General features: G+C 38.4%; 1 protein-coding gene across 19 annotated transcripts in view; it reads right to left on the bottom strand.

The window, feature by feature from the left end:
- KIAA1328 overlaps positions 1-13,740 on the bottom strand; it is a 403,046-nt gene that overhangs the window by 293,339 nt on the left and 95,967 nt on the right. The window lies entirely within an intron of this gene.

Genomic DNA, 13,740 nt, shown 5'->3' with positions numbered 1-13,740 from the left:
TCGATAAATGGTATTGGGAATACTGGATATCCACATGCAGAAGAATGACACTAGACCCACTATCTCTCACCATATACAAAGATCAAATTAAAATGGATTAAAGACTTAAATGTACATCCTAAAACTACAGAACTACTAGAAGAAAACATAGAGGAAATTCTCTGTTGGTCAGGACAGTGAATTCCTGGATTTGACATCAAAAGAACAGGCAACGAAAGTAAAGATAGACAAATGGGATTACATCAAAGCTTCTGCACAGGAAAGGAAACAACAGAGTAATGAGACTATCCACAGACTGGGAGAAAATAGTTGTAAACCATACATCTGATAAGAGGCAAATATCCAGAAAATAGAAGGTACTCAAACAACTCAATAGCAAGCAAACAACTCAATCAAAATATGGGCAAAGGACCTAAATAGACTTTTCTCAAAAGAAGACCTACAGATGGCCAAGAGATAAATGACAAAATGCTCATCATCACTAATCATCAGGGAAATGCAAATTAAAATAACAATAAGGTATTGCCTCGTTCCCCTCAGAATGGCTATTACCAAAAAGATGAAAGATAACAAGTGCTGGTGAGGATATAGAGAAAAGGGATCCTGTGTGAACTGTTCTTGCGAATGTAAATTAACAGAGCCATTATGGAAAGCAGTATGGAAGTTCGTCAGAAAATTAAAAATAGAATTGCTATGTGTTCCAGCAATCCCACTTCTGGGTATATACCCAAAGGAACTGCAATCAGTGTGCTGAAGAGACACCTGCACACCCATGTTTATTAAAGCACTATTTACTACAATAGTCAAGACACAGAATCAACCTAAGTGACCAAAGAAAATGAGAAATATATACTATACAGAATGGAATATTGATCACCCATAAAAAAGAATGAAATTCTACCATTTGCAGCAACATAGATGAAACTGAAGGTCAATATGTTAAGTGAAATAAGCCAAGAATGGAAAGACAATATTGCACATTCTCACATATGGGAGCTAAAACAGTACATCTCATGAAGATAAAGAGTAGAATAGTGGTTATCAGAGGCCGTGAAGGGGTAGTGGGGAGGTGGGAATGAAGGGAAAAAAAGGATATAAATGTAAGTATTACTACAGAACTATACACTTAAAAATGGAAAGGATGGTAAATGTAGTATATTACCTCAATTAAAAAATAGGTATATGTAAACATACTTCTTAATTATTATTTGTCAATTAAAAATTAAACAATTCATATGTTTGTTGGCCACATATGAATGTCTTCTTTTGAGAAGTGTCTGTTCATATCCTTTGCCCACTTTTTGATGGGTTGATTTTTTTCTTGTAAATTTGTTTAAGTTCCTTGTAAATTCTGGATATTAGACCTTTGTCGGATGGGTAGATTGCAAAAATTTTCTCCCATTCTGTAGGTTGCTTGTTCACTCTGATGGTAGTTCCTTTGCTGTGCAGAAGCTCTTTAGTTTAATTAGATCCCATTTGTCAATTTTGGCTTTTGTTGCAATTGCTTTTGGCGTTTTTGTCATGAAGTCTTTGCCCGTGCCTATGTCCTGAATGGTATTGCCTAGGTTTTCTTCTAGGGTTTTTATGGTTTGGGGTTTTACATTTAAGTCTTTAATCCATCTTGAGTTAATTTTTGTATAGGGTGTAAGCAAGGGGTCCAGTTTCAGTTTTCTGCATATGGCTAGCCAGTTTTCCCATTACCATTTACTGAATAGGAGATCCTTTCCCCATTGATTGTTTTTGTCAGGTTTGTTGAAGATCAGATGGTTGTAGATGTGTGGTGTTATTTCTGAGGTTTCTGTTTTGCTCCATTGGTTTATATGCCTGTTTTTGCTATCAGTATCACACTGTTTTGGTTACTGTAGCCTTGTAGTATATAGTTTGAAGTCAGGTAGCATCATGCCGCCAGCTTTGTTCTTTTTGCTTAGGATTATCTTGGCTATACAGTGTCTTCTTTGATTCCATATGAAATTTAAAAGAGAAATGCAAATCAAAACCACTATAAGACACCATCTCATGCCAGTCAGAATGGGGATTATTACAAAGGCAGGAAACAACAGATGTTGGCAAGGCTGTGGAGAAATAGAAAAGCTTATATGCTGTTGGTAGGGATGTAAATTAGTTCAACCATTGTGAAAGACGGTATGGCGATTCCTCAAGGGTCTAGAACCAGAAATACCATTTGACCCAACAATCCCATTACTGGGTATATATCCAAAGGAATATAAATCATTCTACTATAAAGACACATGAACATATATGTTTACTGCAGCACTATTTACAATAGCAAAGACATGGAACCAACCCAAATGCCCGTCAATGATAGGCATTGTGGCACATATACATGATGGAATACTATGCAGCCATAAAAAGGAATGAGATCATGTCCTTTGCAGGGACATGGATGAAGATGGAAGCCATCATCCTCAGCAAACTAACACAGGAACAGAAAACCAAATACCACATGTTCTCACTCATAAGTGGGAGTTGCACAATGAGAACACATGGACACAGAGAGGGGAACAACACACACCAGGGCCTGTTGGGGGTGGGTGGTGAAGGGAGGGAACTTAGAGGATGGGTCGATAGGTGCAGCAAACCACCATGTCACACGTATACTTATGTAACAAACCTTCACGTTCTGGACAAGAATCCCATTTTTTTTTTAGAAGAAATAAAGGGAAAAAATTAAACAATAAAAAACAAAAGAAAAAACCCTAGCAATACAAATTTATGCCACATGCCTAGGGCATATTTGATTAATTAGATAAACATTTTTTAAAACTGCAGAGTTAACATTTTCTTCCCTAGTTGTATATAAACACAACAAGCTGAGTATCCTGGCTATATTTAATTAAAATCCATAGAAGAAAGGCTTAATCACAGCATCTTCATAACAGTTGTCGTGATAGGACTAATTATAATAGAGTTTTACTGACACCCATTATTATATCTCATTAATACATGCAAATTGCCACATAATTTAAAATGCCAAGAACCTAGGAATTCTTTGATCAAATGACCTTTGTTCTTTCAAGTTACCTCTCCCAAACTCCTTATATGCGCACACACACACACAGTATATACTTAACACAGACTAGGTGGGCTGCTTAATTAGGACAAGCAGTGCAAAGTACTGAGGGATACATCCTTTTCCTTCCTAATCTGTTTCTCACAAATACGTCTGTATGATGAAGAATACTATGAAAGGATCACTCCCCACCCCCATAAAAACAACAATAACATCAAAAAGAGTGAAACAAAGACTAATATAAAGCCAAAACCAAACAAAAGCCAAAATCCCCACTCATCAACTATATGGTTTTATGATAGCATAAGGCATTAATGGCCATATGATATCTGGAATGGCAAAAAATGGCATAATTTGGGCAGCTTTTAACCAGACAGGGGAAAATGCCCTTGTTACTTAAGACATAAGCTGAAAGGCTTATACCAAAGGAGGTCTAAATATGCTGTTTTATTAAGTGACTTCACATCAGGGTAAAAGGAGAAGAGGAAAAAGGGAGGATTTAGAGATCTTATTTCCAGTGGCTGATTTCTACTCAAAAGATTCTGTCTAGAAAGATTTAGTAGGCCATCACCTTCTGTAACCAACCATTCAAGTCTACCACTGCAGTGCAAAGTAGCCAGAGACTGTATGTTATCAAATAAATGTGGCTGTATTCCAAGAAAACTTTACTTACAAAATCAGGCAGTAGCCTGGATAATTTGGCAAGCCTTGCTCTAGCCTAACTGAGAACTAAAAAGACTATAGCTGTAACTTTCCCAGGGTTTCCAAGAGAAACAGATTGAAGAAATGATGAGTAAGAATTACGTGGTCTCTGGAAAGACAACAGTGTCTAAGATCACAGTGATTGGTTTTTAAAGTGATTTGCCCTTTGAGACCTAACTTGGACCAATATGTAAATAAAAGCACATATTTCTTATAAATCTTATACTGCCATAACAAATGAAAATGTAGAGGTAACAAAGACGAAGCAACAATACTTTTCCTTTCTCCAAGCTTTGTCTTTGTCACCTCTAAACTTACATTTATTAAATTAAGAAATAATTATCCTTCAAAGGGTAAAAGTTAGTCTCACAAAAATGGTAATATGAAAAGAAAGACTAAAAAAAAATTTAGAGGAGAGGGAGACGATGGCCAATGAGACAGAGCCTGGAAGCACTGCTCCCACTGAGGGAGACCAAATGGACATGGATGAAATTGGAAATCATCATTCTCAGTAAACTATCGCAAGGACAAAAAACCAAACACTGCATGTTCTCACTCATAGGTGGGAATTGAACAATGAGAACACATGGACACAGGAAGGGGAACATCACACTCTGGGGACTGTTGTGGGGTGGAGGGAGGAGGGAGGGATAGCATTAGGAGATATGACTAATGCTAAATGACGAGTTAATGGGTGCAGCACACCAGCATGGCACATGTATACATATGTAACTAACCTGCACATTGTGCACATGTACCCTAAAACTGAAAATATAATAATAATAAAATAAAATAAATATGAAAAAAATATGGAGTAAACAAACATACTCTGAGCCAATTTCCAGAGAGGAAAACATCAAGAGTTGAGAGGTGACACAGATACCAAGAGTGAGGAGGGAGGAAGCTGCCTGCACAGGGTTGTCAGATGCTAGTTCCCAGCCCTAAATGGCTCCTAAGCGGTGAGTGAAGGGAAAGATGGGCAGTCCACTCTTGCTGCAGACCTCTGGGATCCTAGCTGCAAGAGATCCCATGACCCCCCATAGATATCTGAACTGGTAGGGGGATCATCCTGGAGAGTTAGGAAGAGACAGAGGTACAACCTGTGCAAAATGCGGGGACTTTTACACACGGGGCAGCTGCAGTGTAAAATGGCCACAGGCGCCTATCCCCCAAAGTTCTCCATCTCCCCAGTTAGCTCTAGCCCTAGTCAACTGCAAGGCCAAGAGAGAACAAAGCTGGCTTCCACTGGATTGGGGTTCATCTGTTCTGTAGGCTCTCCTGACTGACAGCCCTCTCAAGGCCCCTGCCTGGCTGCTCCACAGGAGCGTGTGTACAATGCAGCCTCCCCTGCCCAGCCTGGATGCTTTATCTGCAGCTCTATCTAAGTACTTTCTCAGTGGCCAGGAAGCACCCTGGATCCCCTAGAACAGCTGGTGCCCAACCCAGAGGGTGTGGAGGACAGAACTGTGGGCTGGTCCTGGCACCCCAGGGCTGCATTGTGCAGCTCAGAAGTGCCAAGCTGAGATCTGTGGCTGGGACTCAGTTACTTTCAAAACACTGTGAAGGGTGAAATGTGCAAGGTGGTAGGCTGGCACAGGAGGAGGGTGTGCCTCCAGGTGCAGGGCTGGTCTGAGAAATATGACCCATCTACTAGCCATGTTATCTACCCAAGAGGGCCCCGTGGCCTGGAACACCTAACAAAGGAAACTTGAGCACAGCACAGCATAGCACCACTGATTGGAGGGGGCCCCACCAAGGCCCGGGAGCAGATCTGGTGAGGGGGTTATCTCTCTCTCCACCACCACCACCACAGAGCAGGGCTGCAAACACATGGAAATACAAAAGCCACACAGTTAAGAAATAGATACATATACGTTTATAGAAATGTAGAAATGTATTTATATTTATATTTTAATATATGTATATATTTATAACAAGAGACCTTCAATGTATTTGTTATTTGTTTTCCTTAGAAATTGGGTCAATATTCATTAGTCCTATATATGTGTGTTGAATGCAAATCATTAAGGTGAGATTAGGGCTACAGAATTGACAAGGTATTTGGCAAAAAAAGAAAGTCTCTTCTCAGAGCAATTCTTGGTACCAAAGCCAAAGTTTAAAGAACACTAACTTTCAAAAAACGTCATCCTTTTGTATTTGTGTCCGCTAATTGTAAACTTTCCTGAAATCTGTGTTTTTATTATTTTTCTTACCAACTACCATGAAGACAACATTGTTTACTAATATATAAACAGCTGAATAGATTAGGTACTGATGCCTATGGAGAAGTGATAGAAACCCCACTGCGTCTTTTAATCCAAGCTTAAACCAAGCAGTGACAGATCTACTTTATAAAATAATAATCAATTAGCAGGAAAATTGATCCTGAATAGTTGAGAGTTTTGGAGACTTCTTATATGACTGAACAATGGGACTTTAGGATTTGCTATGGAGCAATCCAAAAAGTAGCTCTGCATATGCTATGGAGCTACCTTCCCACATTTACTGTTCAATTTCATTTCTCTTTCAAGGTAATTATAATAAATGTCAATTATGGAAATACTTAAATAAAATCTTGGCCATGCACAGAGGCTCACGTCTGTAATCCCAGCACTTTGGAAGGCTAAGGTGGGTGGATTGCTTGACCCCAGGAGTTTTCATGATTAGCTTTCAACAACATAACAAAACCCAGTCTCTACAAAAGAATACAAAAATTAGCTGAGTGCAGTGGCATGGGCTTCTGGTCCCAGCAACTTGTGGGGCTGAGGCAGGATTCTTTGAGCCAGGGAGGTCGAGGCTGCAATGAGCTGTGATCATGCCACCACACTGCATCCTGGGTGACAGAGTGAGACCCATTCCAATAAAAATAAAATAAAATAAAATCTCAAACTTTTTCATTTGAAAGATGGACTACTGGAAACGTTTATGATCACTGAGGTGTCTAATACGATCTTTGTCATAAAGACAGGAGCATTATAAGCTCACTTTCAATGAAAACTTACTGATTTTGTTCATATTATATATCTTTTTCTCTATGCTCCCTTGAAGATGTAAAATAAACTGATAGAAAGTATGGAAAAGGCCATTAAATGTAAGTACATATGGTTTACCTGTTTTATAACTGATTTTGTTAAATTATACATCATACTTTCTGTGAAATATACTATGCAAGGTAGAATTCTATGCGCAAAATCATTCTTACAGAGAACATATAAAGCATAAGTAAACTATTCAATGTTAAAACAAATAAAACTAAAAATTAAAAAAATGAAATAGCTAAGCTTGGTAATTTTCAAAAATTTGCATCACAGTATATATTCCCTAAAGCAAAAAACAACAAAAATATTGTGAAATGGTACATTTCTGGCCACTTTATATCTAGTTTAAAATAAAAGTTGGAGAGTAAATTAATATTTCACATATTTAAAATGAATAAAAAATTGAAATATATGATAGTGCTAAGCAATCTTAAGAATGAGGTTAACTAGAAATATAAGTTCTCTCACTACTTGCAGAGAAAAAGGTCAAGATACCTAGATCAGCAGTCCCCAAGCTTTTTGGCATCAAGGACCGGTTTCATGGAAAACAATTTTTCCACAGACATTGTGGGGTGGTATGGTCGGGGGAACAGTTTGGGGATGAAATTGTTCCACCTCAGATCATCAGGCATTAGTTAGATTATCCTAAGGAGCATGCAACCTAGATCCCTCGCGTGTACAGTTCACAATAGGGTTTGCACTCCTATGATAATCTAATGCTGCCACTGATCTGACAGGAGGCAAAGCTCATGCAGTAATGCTCGCTCACCAGCTCTCATCTCCTGCTGTGCAGCCAGGTTCCTAACAGGTCACTAACCAGTACTGGTCTGCAGCCCAGGGGCTGGGGACCCCTGACCTAGATTCTCTTTATAAATCCAAATTGGAGCCAAAAGATTTCTTTATTGTTTGGGAGTTTTTTGCCTGTTTGTTTGCTTTTCATTGGATTGATGCTGAGTAAAAGCAAGAGGAAATCCACAGTGACAGTCCTAGTGACTGCCCTATGCACAATCAATGGAGGAATATACTGAATGACATAACATAAAGACAGTAGGTAAGAAAAACTGGAAACTAAGGCAAAAAGTAGAGCCCTAAGCTCAGAAAGAAAAATGTTCACTTTAATAATTACAATTATTATTAGTTGCTATGGAATTATTATAGCACTAATGCCCATAATATTCAGATTCATGTTGGAATGATGTGCTCTTTTTTCATTTCATATTTAAATATAAGAAGAATTAGGGCAAAAATGAGTGGACATTACTTTTATCTAATTTAATCAAAAGACAGAAAAATAATTACAAAGTAGATCCTGTAACTAGGATCTACTTTGGAGCACAGTAGGAGACCAGTTGTTCTAAGACTACAGAATCAAAGCATTATGATGCACAGCTAACCTTATTACAACAGCACATTTTATAACCATCTTTGTAAGAATCAAAATGCCCATTAAAGAATATACTCCTATCCATTCATGTATTGCTACCATTATTTTTAAAACTACTATTGCTAAATTCAAAATGAGAACAGACAGTTGTATAAATATGAAGTATTTCTTCTTAAAACTATTTAACTCACCTATAAAAATATGTCATAAGAAGGGAGGCCTGTGCTGTTTAGAATACAGAAAGTCTCAAAAGAATGTTGCTTCCACGGTAACAATGAGAGCCAGATAATCTGCTAAATTACTGGTAACATTTTTGGACCCATAGGAAAGTTGTGGTTACAAGGCAATCAGGTAAACTGAATTCCAAAGGATGATATGCCATTCTAAGGAGAGAGAGACAGGACAGAATGCAGAATGCAGAATGCAGAACCTGAAACCCTGAGGAAGAAAAGGCCATTAAAGGCAGATATGAATAAAACAGCTGAAATTTTCAACTAATTCTTGAAGGCTAAGTGGGAGCTACTGTGACAGTTTAGACATTTCTGGGAGCAACAAACACAAGAGAAGTATGTACTGTCTCACTAGATCTTTCTCACAGGTCTCTACCAGTGGCTTACAAGAAATAATGAAGGTAGGACAACAGGCCTGAGAGTCCTTCTCAGTAGTACATGTGTACAAAACTCTGCCCACATCTTAGATCCTTCTCTCGTAGAAAGCAAAGGCTGAAACTACTAAGAAAAGGTCAGAAAACACTACCACCCAACTGTCTTACACAGTTTGGACTGCTACAACAAACTACCATAGACCCGGGTGGCTTACAAACAACAGACATTTATTTCTCACAGTTCTGGCAGCTGGAAGTCCAGGATCAGGGTGCCAGCATGGTTGGGTTCTGGTGAGGAGCCTCTTCCAGGCTGCAGACTGCTAACTAGGCCCTATATTTCCACATCAGAGAAAGAGGGCTAGAGAGCTTCCTGGAGCCTCTTTTATAAGGACACTAAATGAGTGCTCCATCCTCAAGACCTAATTACCTCCCAAAAGGCCTTCCTCCTAATAAAACAATGGGGGATAAGATTCCAAAATATGAAATTTAGGGGGACACTAATATTCAGTGCATAACACCTACCTATGACCAGGGACAAAAACACTAGTAAAACCCGTCAGTACTCCAGGGCCCATGCTAAGTACAAGGTGGCAGAAGCCCACCACTAGAGAAATTCAAAGTCAGGTACATTGAAGGCAACTACAATTAACAATAAAACTGAAATTCACTTCAACTATTGACTAGAATAACTCAAACCACACACTAAATGCCTACCTGATAGAAGAGAGGTGCCCATTTCTGAGCATAAATATGACCTATCTCAGTGTCTGCAGTTCTTTAATACAATGTCAGACATTAAAGTAAATGTTAAGGAAAAAGAAAAGAAACAAAAGCCGGGGTACAGGGAGGGTGGAAATTCCATCAATATTCAAGATAGAAACTAGTCAACAAAAGTAGATTAAGACATGACTGAGACACTGGAATTAGCTAAAGGGAACTTTAAGATAATTAAAGTATTTAGTGAAAAAGATGGGCACATGCATGAACAGATGGGGAATTTCAGCAAAAGGAAGCTGTATTAATAAGAATCAAATGGAAATGCCTGAAAGAACACAACATAAGAAATAAACATTTCTTTGACAGCCTTATCAGAAGCTGGATACAGTATGGGAAAGAATATAAGAACTTGAAATTAAGGCAGCAGAAATTACCCAAAATGAAACACAAAGAAAATAAGAATAACAGACTATCACAGATCTGTGGAAACATATCAAACATATAGTTGGATTTTCAGAAAGACACAGTGAGAGAAGGGGGCAGAAGAGATAATGGTTATTAACTTTACAAAATTAGTGAAACACAACAACACAGACCAAAGAAGCTCAAAGAACTTCAAGCAGGATAAATGCATGCATGTGTGCACATGCGTGCGCACACACTCACACACATTCTCTCTCTCTCTCTCACCCCTATACATACCATAGTTAGATTGCTGAAAACCAAAGCCAAAGAGAAAATGTTAAAGACATCAAAAAATTTTTGAAGTACTAAAACAAAAGTGTATCCCCCCCAATGGCAACAATATTTCACATTTGTGAGACTTGAAAACTACAAACAATAAAAGCAACAACAGATATTGTACTTACTAATCACTAATATACCAGACACTGTTCTAAGTGTCACGAAAACCCAGAGGTACAATTATTTTCATTTTACAGATGAAAAAACTGAGATACAATAAAGTCAAGTAAATTACTCAGGATCACAGAGTTAGAAGCCATAGAACCAGGACTTGAATTCCAGCAGTGTCACACCAGAGTCCATACTCTTAATCACTAGCCCATTCTGCCATTTCCACACCCAAAGGGGTCAAGACCTTTATCTTCATCCCAATAAGGCACCATAGACAGCAATAATTAATATATTGCCAGCACTATCACCACCACCATACTCACATACACATTCTGCCCAGTCTATGCTCTTAAAACAGAAAGCAACACTGATATAAAAAAAATAAAAAAAACAGAAACTACCTATATCCCTACTGGGGTTGGGGTTGGCAGTAAATATTAGCACAGATTACACATTTCTTTCTAAATCAGATAAATGCTTTCTACGCCATAGAAAATCTGGGCTTTAAGTATTATATATATGTATTTCTGTGTTGAATTACACCCACTTGTTCTTACGAGGGCACTCCCATCCGGGACAACTTCTCTCTTCCCTTTCTTTTTCTCTTTCTCTCTCTTTTCTCTTTTTCTCTTTCTTTCTTTCCTTGTTTCCTCCCTCCCTTCCTTCTTTCCTTTCTTTCTTTTTCTTTCCTCTCTCTCTCTTCCTTCCACCCCACTCATTTCTTTCTTTTTTTCTTTCTTTATTTGAGACAGGGTCTCACTCTGTCACCCCGGGTGGAATGCAGTGGCATGATCACAACTCAGCTCATGGCAGCCTCAACCTCTCAGGCTCAGGTAATTCTCCCACCTCAACCTCCCAAATAGCTGGGACTACAGGCACACACCACCATGCCCAGTTAATTTTAAAAAAATTTTTTTTTGTAGAGATGAAGTTTCGCCCTATTGCCCAGACTAGTCTCGAACACCTGAGCTCAAGTGATCTGCCTGTAGCAGCCTTCCAAAGTGTTGAAATGACAGGCGTGAGCCAGTGCATCTGGCTTCTTTCTTCCCTTAAAGCACAGTGAAAATAATCATATCAAGGAAAAAGTTATTACTATTACCAAATTGTTCCTGCTCATTCTCTAAGTAACAATTATGCCATAGTGCTATGATTATTTTAATAAGCTTTTTATTTTAGAATCATTTTAGACATAACAAAAAAGTTGCAAAGATACTACAGACAGTTCCCATATACCCTTATTCAGTTTTCTCTATCATTAGTATCTTACATTACCATGGTATATTTGTCACACCTGAAAAACCAACATTGTTACATTACTGACCCTTTTATGCTGATATGGTTGGATATTTGTCCCCTCCAAATCTCATGTTAAAATGTGATTCCCAATGTTGAAGGTGGAGCCTGGTGGGAGGTAAATGAATCATGGGGGCAGATCCCTCATAAATGGCTTAGCAACAATCCCTTTGGTGATGAGTTATCTCTCAGTTTGCAGAGATCTTGTTGTTTAAAAGAGTTTGGGACCTCCCCATTGTCGCTGTTGCTTCCACTCTTGCCAGGTGCCGTCCTGGCTCCCCATCACCTTCTGCCATGACTGTAAGCTTCCTGAGGCCCTTAGAAGAAGCAGATGCCGGGACAATGCTTCCTATAAAGCATGCAGAACCATGCGCCAATTACACGTCTTTTCTTTGCAAATTACCTAGCCTCAAGTATTCCTTTATAGCAATGCAAGAATGGTCTAACACACACCCACCCTGTATTGCACAGTAGCTTAAAAATAAATTAGTAAAATGAAAGAGAAGATATAAATGTTGTATAGAAGAATTTCAAATATATATGAACATTCTCTGCCTTTAGGAGGTGGACCTTAATACCTATCTTCTACTCCAGAGAGTGGTTTAGACTTAGTTACTTCACCTGAAGGGTAGAGTATGGAAAGGGAAAAATAACACTACAGTGGAGAAACCTGGAAAATACTACTTAAACCAAGTGATCAAAGTTAGTATCACCAGTACCTTGTGGGTATCATGTGACCCTGATACGATGTGTGAGAATGGTACTGAACCTCTGTGGTGTTCTTTCCAAAAATAAATAAATAAATAAATAAATAAATAAATAAATAGAGAGAGAGAGATAGAGAAAGAAAAAGGAAGAAAGTGAGTGAAACCAGTTTTCCTCTTTCCCATTAATAACACAAAGTTGCCTGGTGCTGCCATCTGCTATTAGAGATTACATCTCTGGAGGCTGAGGAAGGCATGATAGCCAGGTATGTAGAAATAAGAATTATAAATTATTCTTGCATAGACTATAAATATTCCCAATTTCACAGATAATCTATCCTTCCTCCAATCAATTAGCACCCAAGAAACTTAACCCTTTCGAACAAGAAGCTTGCGTCATAGTAAACTAAACATGAAAATGTCTATAAAGCCCCATTCTCAGAAGACCTGCACTCAAAAGTTACAAAATCTGAAGGTTTCAGAGAACAACAAAACAATACTAAGAAAAAAAAAAGTTGAGATAACTCCTAAAAAAAGAAGAAATCAAAGTGGAAAGGGGGTTGGAGAAGAGAGGAGGAGAAAGAGAAGAAACTAGATGAAATAAATACTACCTGCAAAATTAAGGGCTCCAAAGAAGACATTTGTAAGAAATATATAAGAAGACCCAGGCTGGGCACGATGGCTTACGCCTGTAATCCAAGCACTTCGGGAGGCTGAGGTGGAAGGATCACTTGTGGCCAAGAGTTTGAGACCAGTCTGGGCAAAAGACGGAGACCCCATCTCTAAAAAAAAAATTAAAAATTGGCCAGGCATGGTGGCATGCACCTGTAGTCCCAGCTACTTAGCAGGCTGAGGTGCGAGGATTGCTTGAGCCCAGGAGGTTGAGGTTGCAGTGAGCCATTGATGGCACCACTGCACTCCAGGCTGGGCAACAGAGTGAGATCCCATCTCAAAAAAAAAAAAGAACCAAATTTTTTTGAAGAAGGCTAAAATGTAACTAATGTAATTAGTTTCAACAATGATCTGTTTATACTGTACAAAAAGAGAAAAAGAAAAGGTTCCAAATTTGTTTAGTGTATTCTAGATCTGCCCAGGAAGAAGGTATTCAATTCATGGTCTACAAAACACCAATATTCTATTTCTTTTCCTCAGTCAGCTCAGCCCTTCTTCTTTCTTGGCTCATATCTCCACTGTTCATATAATTCCAGTGGGTCCTCCAGAATCCGTAGTATTCTGCCATTATATATCTTTATTATCTTCTGTTTTTACCTAAAATCCTCCCTCCCATTTCCTTACCTTAAATTATATAGAGATTTCACAAAAAAACTAATCACAATTCTGTAAACTTCCAAAAAACTTTACAGAGTTTACAAAATACTTTCTCTCATATTACCATACATAATCTTTATAAT

The sequence above is a fragment of the Homo sapiens genome, chromosome 18 (genome assembly GCF_000001405.40).
Source record: "Homo sapiens chromosome 18, GRCh38.p14 Primary Assembly".
NCBI lineage: Eukaryota > Metazoa > Chordata > Mammalia > Primates > Hominidae > Homo > Homo sapiens.
The sequence above is the reverse complement of the archived record's forward strand: the minus strand, read 5'-3'. Positions and strand labels throughout refer to the sequence as shown.